Source organism: Homo sapiens, chromosome 12 (genome assembly GCF_000001405.40).
Source record: "Homo sapiens chromosome 12, GRCh38.p14 Primary Assembly".
Taxonomy (NCBI): Eukaryota; Metazoa; Chordata; class Mammalia; order Primates; family Hominidae; genus Homo; species Homo sapiens.
Genome location: NC_000012.12, coordinates 106,578,289 through 106,592,797, shown reverse-complemented (window position 1 = coordinate 106,592,797; position 14,509 = coordinate 106,578,289). Strand labels below are relative to the sequence as shown.

Here is a 14,509-nt window from a genome sequence, read left to right as displayed (position 1 = left end):
AATGCAAGAAAGGCAAAAGAACCAAACTCTCTCTGCATCCTGCTAAAATGAGTTCCAGAGAACGGCTCACTTGAAACTGAGTTTTCTACTTCCTGAAAACCAAGTGTAAAAATGGCTCAATCCTTAAAACAGTGATGCCTAAAAACATAAGAGGGTTGGGTGGTTGAGGGGGCTGGGGTGGGGGGAAGGCAAGAGGAAGAGGCATGAAAAATGTGGGCCATCACATTCCAGAACTGGAAGGGCATCAGGAGTTGTGGAGGGGCCTCGATCAGGGTTGTGCAACATACGTCGTCTCTGAGTACACCACAGATCTCTCTTCCAGGATTTAAATTCAAGCCCACAGGTGTTGCCTCCACAAAGACACATTTTCCACTTCCTTTAACAGACTGGAAAACACAAGGATGAAATAATGGCAAACAGGGGCATATAAAATGCCTTCTTCATGGGAAAGGTGGAGAAATAAAAATAAAATTAGTCTTTTGGTCTAAACCCTTCAGAAAAAAAATGACTTATCTCAACATTAAAACTGGGGTTGTATCTACATAGTACAAGCACATCTAGGTATTCTAAAACAGTCTACATTTTTTTTTTCAGTATTCTTATCCCCTTTCCCAACTAGACACCTAGAATAAAGTATAGGAAGGCCAGATAATTATTGTTAATAATAATAATAATATCTGCCTTTTACCGAGCAACTTTTAGGAGTCAGGCATGAAATCAAATACTTAACACGTGCAATCTTACTGAATTTTCATAACCATCCTAGAATGTAGTGAGTAGACATTTTCACAAAGAAGGAAACTGAGGCTTAGAGAAGTAAGATAATTTGCTCTGGGTCACACAGCAAGAATGTAACTGATACAGGATTTGAACCTTGTCTGATGGCAAAGCTCATGTTCTTTTCACTAAGTCACACTACATACCCCTGAAGCCATATTTTAACACATATCTGTGAATGACTTCTAGATGCAATATATTGTTTAAGTTACCTAAAGGCTCCATATATTATCATATTACTTAGCTGCTTTTGCTTCATTCTATTATTCTTCCTGTTGCATGAATGAAGCCTTGACTTTCTCAGAGACAAAGCAAATATTAACCAAAGTTTGAGTGAATCCCAAAGAAGATGAAAGTACATTTCACGTGTGTAGTAAAGGTATGAATGATTTACTTATGTCCCTATTTTTGTCAACAATTATACATTTTGCCTTTACAGTTTAAAAGATTATTTTAGCCGGACGCGATGGCTCACGCCTGTAATCCCAGCACTTTGGGAGGCCGAGGTGGGTGGATCACAAGGTCAGGAGTTTGAGACCAGCTTGGCCAACATAGTGAAACCCCATCTCTACTAAAAATACAAAAAATTAGCCAGCGTGGTGGCGGGCACCTGTAATCTCAGCTACTCAGGAGGCTGAGACAGGAGAATTGCTTGAACCTGGGAGGCAGAGGTTGCAGTGAGCCGAGATTGAGCCATTGCACTCCAGCCCGGGTGACAGTGCAAGACTCCGTCAAAAAAAAAAAAAAAAAAAAAAAAAGGGACTATTTTAACACTTTCATATAGGGAGAAAATAGCACGTCATTTACTTTTGCTAAAATGCTACGTATGTTACTGGGCATTCCTCCCACTGCCACCCTCTCCCTAATGAAAAAAAGAAAGAAAGAAAGAAGAAGAGATTGTCCATACAGCTTCATGACTAAGAGTATGGATCTAAGAGCCAGCCAGCTGGGTTGTGGGCCCTCCGCTCAAATCCTGGTTCTGCCACTTACTCATCTCTTGGATAAGCTTTCTTTTTTTAATTTTTCTTTTTTTATTGTTCTTTTCCTTCCTTCCTTTCTTTTTTATTTTTTTCTTTGAGACAGAGTCTCACTCTCACCCAGGCTGAAGTGCAGTGGTGTGATCAGAGCTCAGTACAGCCTTGAACACCTGGGCTCAAGTGATCCTCCCATCTCAGCCTCCTGAGTAGGTGGAACTATAGGCATGCACCACCATGTCCGTCTAATTTTTTAAATTTCTTGTAGAGATAAGAGTGTCACTATGTTGCCCAGGCTGGTCTCCAACTCTTGCCCTCAAGTGATCCTCCTGCCTCACCTCCCAAAGTGCAGGGACGACAGGCATAAGCCACAGCACCTGGCCATTATATCCTTTCTCTGTCACAGTGTTTTTAAAACATTTGCTTTTTAAAATACAAATGAAAAGCTAGGTCTCCTACTTGCATTCTGCCTCAGGAAAGTTAGGAACACACAATAAGAGTGATCTTGCTTCCCAAGCAATCGAGGTACAGCTTGCCAGCCCAGCTTCCTAGGGCTCAGAAACTTATTGAACATGTCAGCTTCTAGTTTCAATTTTTCCTTTAACTTGTTGGTTTCTCTATTTAAACTGTAAATAATAACAGTTTCTTCTTAATAATTACAGTTTCTTCTTAATAGGATTGTTGTGAGCATTACACAGATAATGTACTTAAAATGCTTAGCAAAGTGAAGACACAGTAAGTATGGAACGTATGTTAACTATTACCACTTTCATATTTCATATTCACTACAGCTGTATCAGCTGGTTGTATCAATCCCATAAGAAAATTGAGGCTCAGCAACATTAAGCTTCCAGACCAAATGCTCACAGCTTTACGTGGCACAGCCACCCTATGAAGCCAACAACCCCATCACCATGCTCTGTCTTTATTACTCCAGATAGGTTTTTTTCCTTCATATTGCTAATCACTTACTGAAATTATCTATTTTTGTGTTTACTTATTTGTGGGTCTAGAACTTATGCTCTAGGGAAGCAAAGATGACATTTTTGTTAAGCCCAGTATGTAGCAGAATGCTGGGCACATAGGAGACACATAGTCTTCTTGGATGAATGAATGAACACATGAATGAAGAAAGCCAAGATTTGTCTGTGCCCCAAATCTCTACTCAACCGCTGTGATACACTGCCTCCCATTGCTGCCACCATTTAAAATCCCCCTTAAAGGCGGAGTCACAGGATTCCTTCAGAGGGGTTTTCTCTGGAGCCCAGGGAAGACAACATTCTGTGATTCTCCACTCTCATCCATCTGTTTCCCTTCTCACCAAGTGGGATTCAAATCCACCTAAAGCCAGTGTCATAACTAAACCCTGACCTATCACGACAGCAGAGTCTAGGTGATGTGGCCTGGGTGGGGAGAGGGCATGAGTGTTGCCTAGTCTGCTCTCCAATCTAGCTCTGCCATGTACCAGTTGAGACCTCAGGCAGGTTCCAGACCCTCTTTCATCCTAAAAAGAGACTATGCAGAGTTGTGATAAGGCTTCAATGGCTAATGTGTGAAAAAGTGCCTGTTACAGAGCTGATACATGGTAGGTACTCAGCAAGAGAGAGCATCCTTTCCTCTAAGCTCCAAAATGACTCAATTTTTATGTTCCTTGTAGTGCTCACCACTCTCAGTGTGTCCATACCTTCTCTTAGTAAATGCATTCTGAAGTCCTCGACAGTAGGGACTGTGACCTTGTTCATCTTCAGGGTCTGCCACCTAGCAGGTAGTCAGGAAGTGAGACTGAATAAAACCCAAAGTAGTCTATTTTCTTCTTTTTTTAAACTTCACTTTTACCTGATACCTCCAAATAAACTCTTCAAGTTCATTCTCTCTCTCCCCTAAACCTTAATAAAATTGCAAATATCTAAAATAGAGTGGAAGAGGTTAAAAACAACATTGGGGGTTTCTCCCACCGTCTCCATCCTGCAGAGCCTTATGGCCATCAGAGGGGCAGCTGAAGAGTTTCCCAAGTGACCTGCAGAACACGTAGGATGGGCTCTCAGGAACCTGTGGAGTAGAGACCTGAGTGTCCGGCATCCCAACTTGTGATGTCACCACTTTATATCTTCTCAGCCTTTTTGGAAAAGACACTGAGGCAAACAGACCAACTTGGCTTAGAAATCAGTCTTAAAATGTTGGAAATGAAAGAAAAACCCTATGTTTCAGAATAATGCCACGCTCATGGAGTGCCTGGGAGGCTCAATGTCAGTAAAACTACTTTATAAACAAAGTACCCAGAAGATTTGACATAGATGTCAGAACACAAACGCGGACACAGGCATATAATTGAGAGGTAGAATTTTATTGGGTTGATGCAAAAGTAATTGCGGGTTGTGCAAACCCACAATTACTTTTGCACCAACTCAATAGAGCATATCAATTTTTACACCCAATCCATTCTTTTGCAAATGAGGCAATGGAATCTCAGGGAAAGGAGAAGGGCTCCTTTGCCCAGATTGTCATCAGGAGGGATGCCTAGGCGTGAGAAGAGACTTCTTCCCAAAAACTTGAGCAGTGGAGGGTGGAGTGATTTTCCTTTGATGGCCGCATTTTAGTACATTGGCCAATGTGTATTCCTCTCTCACATATGTGAGGGTCTGTGATGCCAGCTTCATTATCTAGAAGCATTTCAGTGTTCCCTAAATTGGCACTGGATACAGCCCCATAAAGTCTAGTGTCTTTTAGTAAATCCTTTGGGGATGGAGGGAGTTGGCCAAACAATTAAGGAATGCACTGCAGGTGGCAATGAGAAAGGACATTCTGGGCCTTTAAAAAGAGTTGTTCATGGTTATTGACTCTTAAAATCCCAAATGATTTGCAAAAAATAATATATCATTAGTTCGAGGAGAAATTACCTAATTGTGCAGTGGGTCATATTTCAGATAGTGGTAACCAGCTCATATATTGCTTCCTGGATTCTACAGTAAAGCCAAAGGAATAGAGGGAAATGTCTACCTTGTCAGAGATCCCAGCCTGTGAGCTGTCTAACCCTTCATTTTACAGGCAATTAAAAATAATCTTGGAAAGCCTAGAAGATTAACCTAAAGTCATATTACAAGTGGCTGAGTTGAATCACGACTCAGCGCCTTTCTCACTGTAAAAAGGGGGGAAAAATCAGAATCTCCTCTTTACCCATCCCCACTCGCAAGATTTCTGGCCAGACGCTCCCTTCTCTTCCCGTTCCGTTCCCACCTTATTCTAACCCATCACCCTTTCAGATCGGGTTTGAGATAGGGGGTGAGAAACTCACCCTGGGCGACCCACGGGTCGTGGGGAAGAAAAGCCAGAACCTTTCACGTTGGTGAGCCTGTGGCTCCTGGGGAGGCGGGCGCACTGCCCAGCTGGCGCCTAACCTCCGGACGGGTGAGGGGGGAGGCTGGAAGAGAACCCGGAGAGGAGGGAGGGAGCAAGGGCTCCAAGGCGGGCTGAGAAAAGGTATAGCTGCTGGAGAGAAATTAGAGACCTCGGAGCCTCTGGGAAGCAGGATGGTCCAGCACTCACACAGCGGCGGGGAGGCCCCGTGCAAACTCCTCTCTCTTCCTCGCACTGGGCCCTTTGTTGTCGGCCTCTGCCTCTGGCTCCCGCTCCTGCCCTCCGGTCCCCCCGCCCCCTGAAGTCACCCCAACTGCACTCATAATATTTTGCTTTGCGCCAGGTCTGTTTTCCACCACCAACTTCCAGCAGTCTCCATGGTGACGCGCTGGGGACGGGGGCGGGAGCGGCTTTGGAAATCCCAGGCCCGAGGCGCCGGGCGGCCCCTGCAAACTTTTCCGAGTCTCTGGGACCTGCAGGCCGGGTAGGAAAGCGCGCTGTCCCAGGCTGCCGCACAGAGTCGCGTGCTGAATCCGGGACTCCGAGGACCCAGCCTGCGTGCAGCCTCCGCGCCATCAAGGGCTGCAGCCTCGGGGACTCGGAACCCTGGTACCATGCGGCTCTCACTTGACCCCGCTGCCAAATCCAGACGCCGGCGCTTAGCAGGTGGCAGAGATGGGGGCGCACATGCCCCGTTCGCCCGCGCGCGCGCACACACACACGCCCGGGGAGGGCGAGACTGTCTGGTTTGGGCGCTGGAGCAAGGCTCGGACCTCCGGCTCCTTGCTCTCCCAAGCCCGCAGACAGTGGCTCCTTCCCCAGGGCTGTGCCTGGGCAAGAATGGAGGAGGCTCGGGCCCTGTTCCCTCCAGGACGCACTTTGCCTTGTGGGCACGGCGCCAAGGCCACTGGACATCCCTACCCCGGGCCCACAAAGGCATATAATTAATTTGGTGGTAGAATTTTAGAAAGAATTTGTGCTGAGCTGGGGGCCTGTAAACTAGCGTGCCCTCCCACCGATGCGGCCCGGGGAACTCAAATCCGGCTCCAGGAAGTACTTTGGCCGCCTCAGCTCTGGGTTCTGGAGATGGGAGCGGAAAGTGGATGGAGGCAGAAGTTTCCAGCTCCAGCTTGGCAGTGGCCCTCTCTAACGCGCCATCCCGTTTTAAAAGAAATGATCCTTCTGTTGCGTAGGCGACCGACCCGGCCCGGCCCACTTTGCACAAGTTCTCGGTGGCCTAAAATTCTACCCACTTTCCCCCATCGTTCTCGAATTTCCGGATAACTTGAGTAACTGAGCAACGATCACCCGGGCAGAGCAGCCCTGATTGGACCCGGCGGCCACAAACACGTAGCTGCCGGTGGCCCGCGTGGGGAGCGCAGGCCACGCGGGGCTCAGCACCCACTTTTGCGCGGCGTGGGGCTGTAGCGCGGGCCGAGCGGGACGCGCGCCTGCGCTTACTGCAAACCGCGCACCGGCCAGAAGGTGCGTCGACTGCCCCTGCGCGCGCCTGTCGCCTTTGCCTCCTGCCGGAGCACCGCGGCGCGCGGCAAGCTGGGGCTTTGCCTCCGAGAGGGGCTTTGCTTTGTCGGGCTCGGCAGCGAGAGCGCCTAGGGCCCAGGAGGCGCGCGCCGGCTGCCCAGCTTCCCCCGACCGGGCCATTGTCTTAGCTCCACACTTGTTGAGTATTTTGGGGAAACCCGAGGAATATATTACTGGCTCAGTGTGCGGAACAAAGGGGCGCGTTTCCGCAGGTCATGCTGAAGTGGCCCCAAAGCAGGCCACTAGAGCCCTGGCCCCTGCAAAACTGTTCTCCCGGGCCCGAGGCACTTCGCGGGGATTTTCCTTTTAAGAGTAAGGGACGGTGGCCCCGCTCGCCGGCCTCTCTTATCCTGGACGTTTCCTACTTCGCCCCAGCACTTGCTGTGAGTCGGTTGTTCCAGTCCTTTCGGAATGATATAATAACAGCAATATTCCTGGTTCTGATCGCGCGCGATCTTATACAAAAGGAGCAGAATCGAACTGCTCCATGGAGCGCGCGTCTCTGCAAGCCAGGAGAAAAGACCCTTTACATAACAAGGGAAACTCAGAAGAAAGGCTAATTGGATTAAATTCTCTGGAAGGGAGGTGAGGGAAGGCTTCTGGACTGGACCACGCCGAGCCGCACTTCCCTTGTCGTCGGTTTTGCAAGTCGGAGTGAAATGTCACCTGGTGCGTCTAGTGTCATTTCTTCACACTGTCGTGTACCAAAACTTTTGATTTTGCGTTCAGGGTGGTGACCTAGGGATGTCTCGGATATACAAAAGGGAGAGAAGTGGATGGGGAAAGGATTTCATTTCAGAACGTCTCTGGAGTGTTTGCAGTTGAGGTGAAGAGGACCCGGTGCCCCCACGAGCACCAGTTGCATCGAGAACAGAAAACGCCACGAATCCACAGCCCCACAGTCCTCCCCAGAAGTACCGAGGGGCCTGGCCCTGTGGAGGAGGCAGCTAAAAGCCCCCCAGCAGGGCCACTGCAGGTTTGGGATGTAGGGAGACCCTATGTCCCTGCGTGGGCCGCTCGAAAATACTTGGCCACAAACTCTGCAGACATGCGTTTAAGTTTGTTAAGGATATTCATTTTTAATGTTAGGGTTCTCAGGAGGTGGTGAGGGCGCAGCGCTTGAGATGAAAAAATGGTGGAAAAGGCGCTTTTCTCTCTCTGGGCTCCCGCTTTACCGCCAGTAGAGACCTCAGCGGGGCCTGCCGTGTCCGGAGAGGCACGCAGGGCAGGCGACGCTTCTCCTTGCCTTCGTTTGTCATCGAGTATAGGAAGGAGAACTTCGGGGCTTAGCCTTTCCCCACTCCCTGGGGGCTCACACCCAGCCAGGGGAGTGCAATCAGGCGGGGCCTTGACTCTAGGAATCAGAGATCGACAACTACCCTAAAACACAGAATATCCCCCTGGCAAGAGCAGTCCGGTGTCCGGGCCACCAGGGCTGCAGCGGAAACCTGGAGAGGCCTTAAATATTTCTGCAGGGACCGAGGAAAGACCTTCTGGGGCAATGCCCCGATGACCCCAGCCCCCACCCCACTTCCATATCCAGCCTGCCTAGGGGTGGAGTTGGGGAGACATTCGTGCGGCATTTGTTTATTTGCTCAAGGAAAGGACGTGCATGCTCAGGGGACGGCCGGGGCTGGAAGGCACTTGTTGCTCCGCGCTGCAATGCTCAGCAGCTTATGCTTGCAGGCATTCTCTCAAACCTCGCCACGGCCCAGGCTGAGTCCACTGCCCTATTTCTGCCTCTCCCCAAACTCATCACCCTAAGAAATTCTGAGGCTGCAGGGGGCCAAAATGAAAATAGCCGGGTTGCAAGAATGAGCCTAGGGGAGGGGGTGAACTGTAAGAGAACTTCCACCTGCAAGGGACTTAGGGAGCGTTAACAGATCTAGAAGTGTGACGGCTCTTCAAAGGTGCTAGGAGTGGGAGGTGGCGAAAACTACTGGAGGAAGAACCGAGATACCGGGTGTTTTCGTTGTGAAAGATTCCTTGGCCTCCTTTTTTCGTTGTTAAGGACCGCCGCACCCCCAAAACTGACGCCCAGCAGCTCTTGAACTGCAGAGCAGTTTGCAGACCCCAACGCCGAGTTTAGCGGGCCAGTCTGCGTCCTGCCCTCCCTCCAGCAAGGTCACAGCTCCCTAGTGGAGCCCGGCGTTGGGTGCCCCTTCCTGGCAGAAAAGCTAAAAGCCCGACCCCACAGCCCAGGACTCCCACCTCCCGTTTCTGCGGATTCCCCCGGACCACCGGGTTCGCCGCCGCCACTCCCTCCAGCTGCGCGTCTCTACCAGCCGGAGCCTCGGTCCCCACCTCCCAGGCGCAGTGCGAAGCCGTCACCCTCCCCCGCCTCGGGGCGTTCCGCTCGGCTTCCCGGCCCTGGCCGCCAGACCCCGAGCGCACCGCTATTCCGAGGCCCCCATACCCTAGGAGGACCTGGGTCCGGGAGGGGGCGGTCGGCTGGCAAAGTTTCTGCAAGTGGCACCTCGAGCTCGCCGCGAGCCAGCGCATCTTTACGTAACTTTGTGTCCAGGGCAAGCGAAAGCGCGCTCCTTCGCGCGCGCGCACGCACACACACTCACACACGTACACAATCACACGCTTATACACATACTTCCACGCATCCAGTTACACACATCGCCTCGAATTGAAAACTTCTGCAAGCTCTGCGTTATTCTTTGGGGTTCCACTGTCAAGTTGACCCGTCTGAACTTTTCCCAACTTCTTTCTAAAGTTCCCCCTCTCCCTTCTCCTTCCCTCCCAATGTATCCCCCCAACCCCGCCAGTAGGACTAACCTGTGGAATCCATGTCGGGTTCCTCCAGTAACCCACAATGCATGCTCTTCCCATGGACAGCACAGGCGCCCCCCAAAAGTCCTGATGTTTGGGGATCCCCTGTGCTAGAGATGCCCAGGGAGGAAGGGAGGGAGGGAGGGAGAAGGGGAGAGAGAGAGACGCAGAAAGTGAGGGGGCACAAGGATAAAGGAGGAAAGGAAAAGAAAAGAAAAAGAAGAGGAAAGAAAAGAGAAAGAAGAAAAGAGGAGAGAGAGGGAGAGAAGGGAGCGAGCTCGGAGAAGGGGGAGAGAGAAAAAGCGAGCGAGCAAGGGGACACTCAGTAATCCAGCCGGGCAAAGCCAAACCCGTCAAAATGTTTGCGGATGTTTCATGGGAAAAAGCATCATTTTATAGGAGCCCCGATGGGAGCAATGTCATTGATAGGCCAGCCGGCCTGATGAATGGCCGCTCGTCAGATGGGGCCGTGGCGAGGCGCACTGTGAAGCCCATTGTGGGCCTGTTTTGAATAAGAAAAGCCGCCTCCGAAAAGGGGGGCTCAGAGCGACGCAATCCCAGCCCTCCGACTTCCCCCTTCTATTATAGCATTAGCAACGTTTTTCTTATTTAAAGTTCCAGAGGCCTTCTCCAGCCTTCGCCCGGCACTCATTATAGGCGAAATCAAAATTGGCTTAGATGTGGCCCCCTCCCCCTCCCGGCCCTTCCCCACCATCGGGCCCCGCGCCGTGCTGGCAGGCCGGGAGGGGGGCGCGGGCGGGGGGGGAGCCGCGGGGAACTCCTGGAGCCTGGGGAGTCGCCTGCGCTACCACGAGTGGGGCCCCACTCCCTTCCTTCTCTTGCGCCCCCACCCACCCCCCATTTTGGTCCTGGGTTAGATTTCGGGTGGTGGCCCTGAGAATGCGGGAGGGGGTATGTCTTGACCCCTTGCACGCGGATCCGCAGACACGCGTGGGGAGTGAAGCGAGCTTGAAGGGGAAAGGGTGGGGAAGGGGAACTGAATCCCTAAGACCCCATGCCCCAATATGAGCGTAACAAGGCCGCTAGGCGGGGAGGAGGTGAGTGGCTGGTTCGCCTCCTCCAGAACTTTCTGTCTTCCTCTGGGCCTGGGTCCTTCATCCTGTTTCTCTCCTTCCATCTCGCTGTCTCTCTCCGCCTGTCTCCCGGTGTCTGTTTCTAGCTCTCTGTCCCTCTCGTCCTCTGTGTCTCTGTCTCTGTCCATTTCTCCTTCCTTGGCTGCTAGTGTCTCTGTCCAGACCCTGCCTCCACTTCTCTTTGTCTCCCCCTAGGACTCTGCCCCTCTCTGTCTCTATCCCCCTCGGTCTCTCTGTACTGTCCCCCCTCCCCCGCCTCTTCCCGTAACTCTGTCAGTCTGTCTGTCTCTGTTCCTCCGCCCTCCCCCTGCCCTCCCCACCCCACCGCCGTCCCCCAGTCGGCCTCGAAGTTTGTGAGAAGCCCCGGCATCCAAGTGGGGACGCGGTTTTCCCAGGGACCCCCTCCTCGGCGGAGTTGAAAGTGCAGAAAGAGGGGGGCGAGGGCCGGGGGGTGCTGGAAGTGGAAGTGAGGGGGAGCAAGCTGCGTCTCCTGCGGGCCCCGATAAAGTGGCCGTTCGCGGGTCGGCCGCGCTGTGATTAGAATATGAATGGGGCCCGGCGGGCGGAAGAGAAAGGCGGATTACCCCGGGTGCTTTGACCATGGACAGAGGCAGAGCCGGCGGGCCGCGGCGGGGGCGGGGAAGCGCGGAGTCCCTAACGCCGTGCGGGAGTGGGGGTCTCTAACCCCGGGCCCCTGGCAGCGCGCGGCTTTCCGCGATCCTTCGGAAAGACGCCCCCCGCCCCCTCGGTCCGCCCCCTCCCCACAATCAGAGCTGAGTGGGACAATGTACGGAGACTGGGGAGCCCGAGGGGCCAGCACGTGCCGAGTTAAGGTCACGGTGCGGGAGGAAGAAGGCGGCGCGCGGTACCGGCTGGACAGAGCCCGGGATGGACTGACGGTAGCGCGGGGTTCGAATCCCAGCTCTGTAAATTCCTTCATCGTTCTGGGCCTCAGCTTCCTCGTCTGTGAAATGTAGCAAAGTTGCCCCCTCTCAAGCTTTGGGGGAAGATAACTGAAGCAGTGGTTATAAAAGGAGCCGGGCATTTGCTGTTCCCTCTACTTGGCACTCTGCCGGCTCCTCCTTCCTCACAGGTGCCTAACCGGCCGACACCTTTGCGTCACCCTGGTCTCAGCTGAGCGTCGCCTCCTCGGAGGGGCTGTGCCTGACCACTCTCTGCGAAGGTCCCTTCCTGCCCCGGCCGCTGCCGGGCTCATTACCCGGTTTATTTCTGGAGGACTTTGTTCACCACCCCATGCCCAGTGCCCAGAAGGGCGCCAGGCACATTCTTTCCCGCTGCGATGCTGGTGATGGGAAAGAGGTCGATGGAAACCTTTGGCAGCCGAATGCCATGGTGGCGGTCACCGCGCGTCCTCGTGGTGCGCCTGGCAGCAATGACAGCGGAATTCGAAGTCAGATCTGACTGTTCGCGTTCGCCTTTGTAGCCTTAGCTTCTCTGCCACTGGAATAGGCTGAAGAGTAAAAGCCTTCTTCAGACGGCGGGAGGGTCTGACAGCGCGTAGATGGAGCCTGGCCAGGGGCGTTCCGGTGGCAGCAAGGAGCGCGTCCCCAGGGTGGGCGGCTGCCACCGCCCGGAGAGTCCTTGAGGGATGCCACGGGGGCACGGGTGGTCTCCAGGGCGGATGAGACTATTATTGTTGCTATTATTATTATAATTTTTGCACGCAGAGTGGAGGTGGGTAGGGTGAGGTGAGCCGGGCTCACAGGCCAGGAGTGAGGCGGAAGAACCCGGAGCCAGCCCAGCACAGCTCAGAGCCGGGCCAGGTGCGGCTGGTCCCGGCCCAGCGCTGCTTCACCTGGGATGGCACGAGTTCTCGGGCATGACCATGCTGCAGCGCCTGGGAGCTTAAAGAAATGAAAATAATAATCGCTCATTCGTTCCTTGGCAAATTTTTATTGTGCATCTACTATGTGTCCAGAACTATTCTAGGAAGCGGAGGCTACATCAGTGAACAAAATAGACCAAAAAAAAAAAAAAAAAAATCTTGCTCTCCTGAAGCTTACATGGGAGTGAGGGGAAACAGATAATATATACAACATAGAATTAAGAGGTGGGAGACGAAGTCAAGGGAGGGCCTCTCTGAGAAGCTGACATTTGAGCTTAAAAGTAATGGTATCCAGGGGCTAGTCACAAGGGTGTCATTTGTGACAATTCACTGACTGTGACACTTGTGATTTTGCGCATTTTTTGGAATGTATTTCATACTTCAATAAAATGTTTGCTTAGATTTAATGCTGTCAACATCATAAATAGTAATAGCTACCATTTACTATTAATGTATTCATTATGTGTTTCCACGGGTTCAGGCGTCTTCCATGCATTAGTTCATTTCATCCTCACAACACAACTAATACATATTATTGTCGTCTCCACTTTTAGGAGAACTACTGGGGTTCTGTGTGGCTCTCTTGCCCTTGACAGACACTGTGGACACAGTAATGAATTATCCAATTCCTATCCTGCAGAGGCTTGAAATCTCAATAGAACATAGCACAGGGGCAGGGAGGGGGTGATGGGGAAATTGTGGGTGCTGTGAGAGCAAAGAGAGGGCAATGTGACTGATCCTGGGAGGCTGGTGTCAAGGCAGGCCTCCTGGAGGAAGTGGTGACCCAGGAGCTGAATTAGCCAGACAAGGGGGTTGAGGGTGTTACAGACAGAGGCACAGGCGAAGAGGAGAACCTGTGGAGTGTGTTTGGGACTGGAGCCTGGCCTGGCTGCACACGGAACCCAAGAGAGGAAGAGAGGATTAACAGGCCATTTCATGGGGAGGTAAGCTAGGGCCATGCCAAGAAATGTACCCTGGAAGGGTTTGGTGCATATAGGACTAAATCTACATTTTGAAGAGATCACAAAATGTGAAGAGATCTCAAACTGTGTGGTGGCCAGATGGGGGTTGGTTGCAGGAGGGGGTGGGAGGGAGGGATCAGGATGACCTGACACAGGTACATGGCAGTTGGGGCAGGGTTCAGGAGATACCAAGGAAGCTGTATTCCCAGCCTTGATGTTGATTAGTTGTGGCCAGGGATGGGGAGGGAGAAGGGATTCCCAGGTTTCTGACTTGAGCAATGAGTAGCTATTGGTACCAGGATGTGACATGAGGAGGGAAGACTTGGCAGCAAGAGAGAAGGGTTTGAAGGGCCCTTAAAACTTCCCAGTAGCCCAGTGGCAATGACAGCCAGGCAGACCCACAAAGGTGTGGAGTTGGCACTGCTTGTGCAGACCTGGGTGGCTGCTGAATCCCCTGGAATGGATGAACGAGCAGCATGAAAGAGGAAGGTGCAGGGCGGATCCCTTTTAGATCACGGGGTGTGCTCTGCCTCCACTGCTGTAATCTCAACAGTCCCTGTACTTTCCAAACCCAGCACTCACTTCATTGTAATTATTTATTTGTCTGATGTGGTAGATGGTATTACTTATTCATAATTCTCTCTTCCCTCTCTGGCCTACTCTGGCTTTCCCTCCCGCTGATTTGGGGTTTGGCTATTGGCTTGCTTTCGCCAACAGAATGTGAGTGGACAACATATGTTAAATGAAACCAGAGGCCTTACATGTCCTGGGGGTAGTTTGGCTAGTACTCTTGGACTCCTGACTTGCCTTGAGCAAACCCCACGTAGTCACTGGTCCTAGAACGAGAGACACATGGAGCCAACCAGGACCTGCCAGGCAGTTTGAAGAGCTCCCCTTTTTCCCAGGGACCCACAGAACTGTGAGCAAGAAATAAATGTTCGTTGTTATAAGCCACTGAAAGTTGTTGGTAATAGTCTTACCATCTTAAAGGGGAAAGACAAGTCTATAAGTAGGGTTTTGATGTATTAATGTCTTCTCCTTTAAGATGGTAAGACTATTACTAATAATAGCTAATGCTTATTAAGCATTTACTAAGAATCAGGCACAGTTCTAAGGCTTAATTGTCACAAAAATCCTGTGAGGTACTTTTATTATACCCACTTACATGAGGCACAAAGA

The 14,509-nt window shown here is 51.7% G+C and overlaps 1 protein-coding gene and 1 long non-coding RNA gene across 2 annotated transcripts in view, besides 3 other annotated features; one reads left to right on the top strand and one right to left on the bottom strand.

Annotated features, from left to right (window-relative positions):
- RFX4 (regulatory factor X4) overlaps positions 1-9,794 on the bottom strand; it is a 179,800-nt gene extending 170,006 nt beyond the window's left edge. The window contains exon 1 of the mRNA NM_213594.3: positions 9,435-9,794. Coding sequence (NP_998759.1) covers positions 9,435-9,477 — 43 coding nt within the window. The 5' untranslated portion in view covers positions 9,478-9,794. The remainder of the gene's footprint in view (positions 1-9,434) is intronic.
- LOC100287944 (uncharacterized) overlaps positions 1-14,509 on the top strand; it is a 278,422-nt gene that overhangs the window by 182,034 nt on the left and 81,879 nt on the right. The window lies entirely within an intron of this gene.
- Positions 6,420-7,005: an enhancer, noted in NCBI's record as "H3K4me1 hESC enhancer chr12:106979571-106980156 (GRCh37/hg19 assembly coordinates)". NCBI's record gives its function as "activates a minimal SCP1, AML or CMV promoter by ChIP-STARR-seq in naive H9 embryonic stem cells {active_cell/tissue: H9 hESC(naive)}" and the evidence as "EXISTENCE:reporter gene assay evidence [ECO:0000049][PMID:30033119]".
- Positions 8,760-9,344: an enhancer, noted in NCBI's record as "H3K4me1 hESC enhancer chr12:106977232-106977816 (GRCh37/hg19 assembly coordinates)". NCBI's record gives its function as "activates a minimal SCP1, AML or CMV promoter by ChIP-STARR-seq in primed H9 embryonic stem cells {active_cell/tissue: H9 hESC(primed)}" and the evidence as "EXISTENCE:reporter gene assay evidence [ECO:0000049][PMID:30033119]".
- Positions 10,833-11,715: an enhancer, noted in NCBI's record as "H3K27ac-H3K4me1 hESC enhancer chr12:106974861-106975743 (GRCh37/hg19 assembly coordinates)". NCBI's record gives its function as "activates a minimal SCP1, AML or CMV promoter by ChIP-STARR-seq in primed H9 embryonic stem cells {active_cell/tissue: H9 hESC(primed)}" and the evidence as "EXISTENCE:reporter gene assay evidence [ECO:0000049][PMID:30033119]".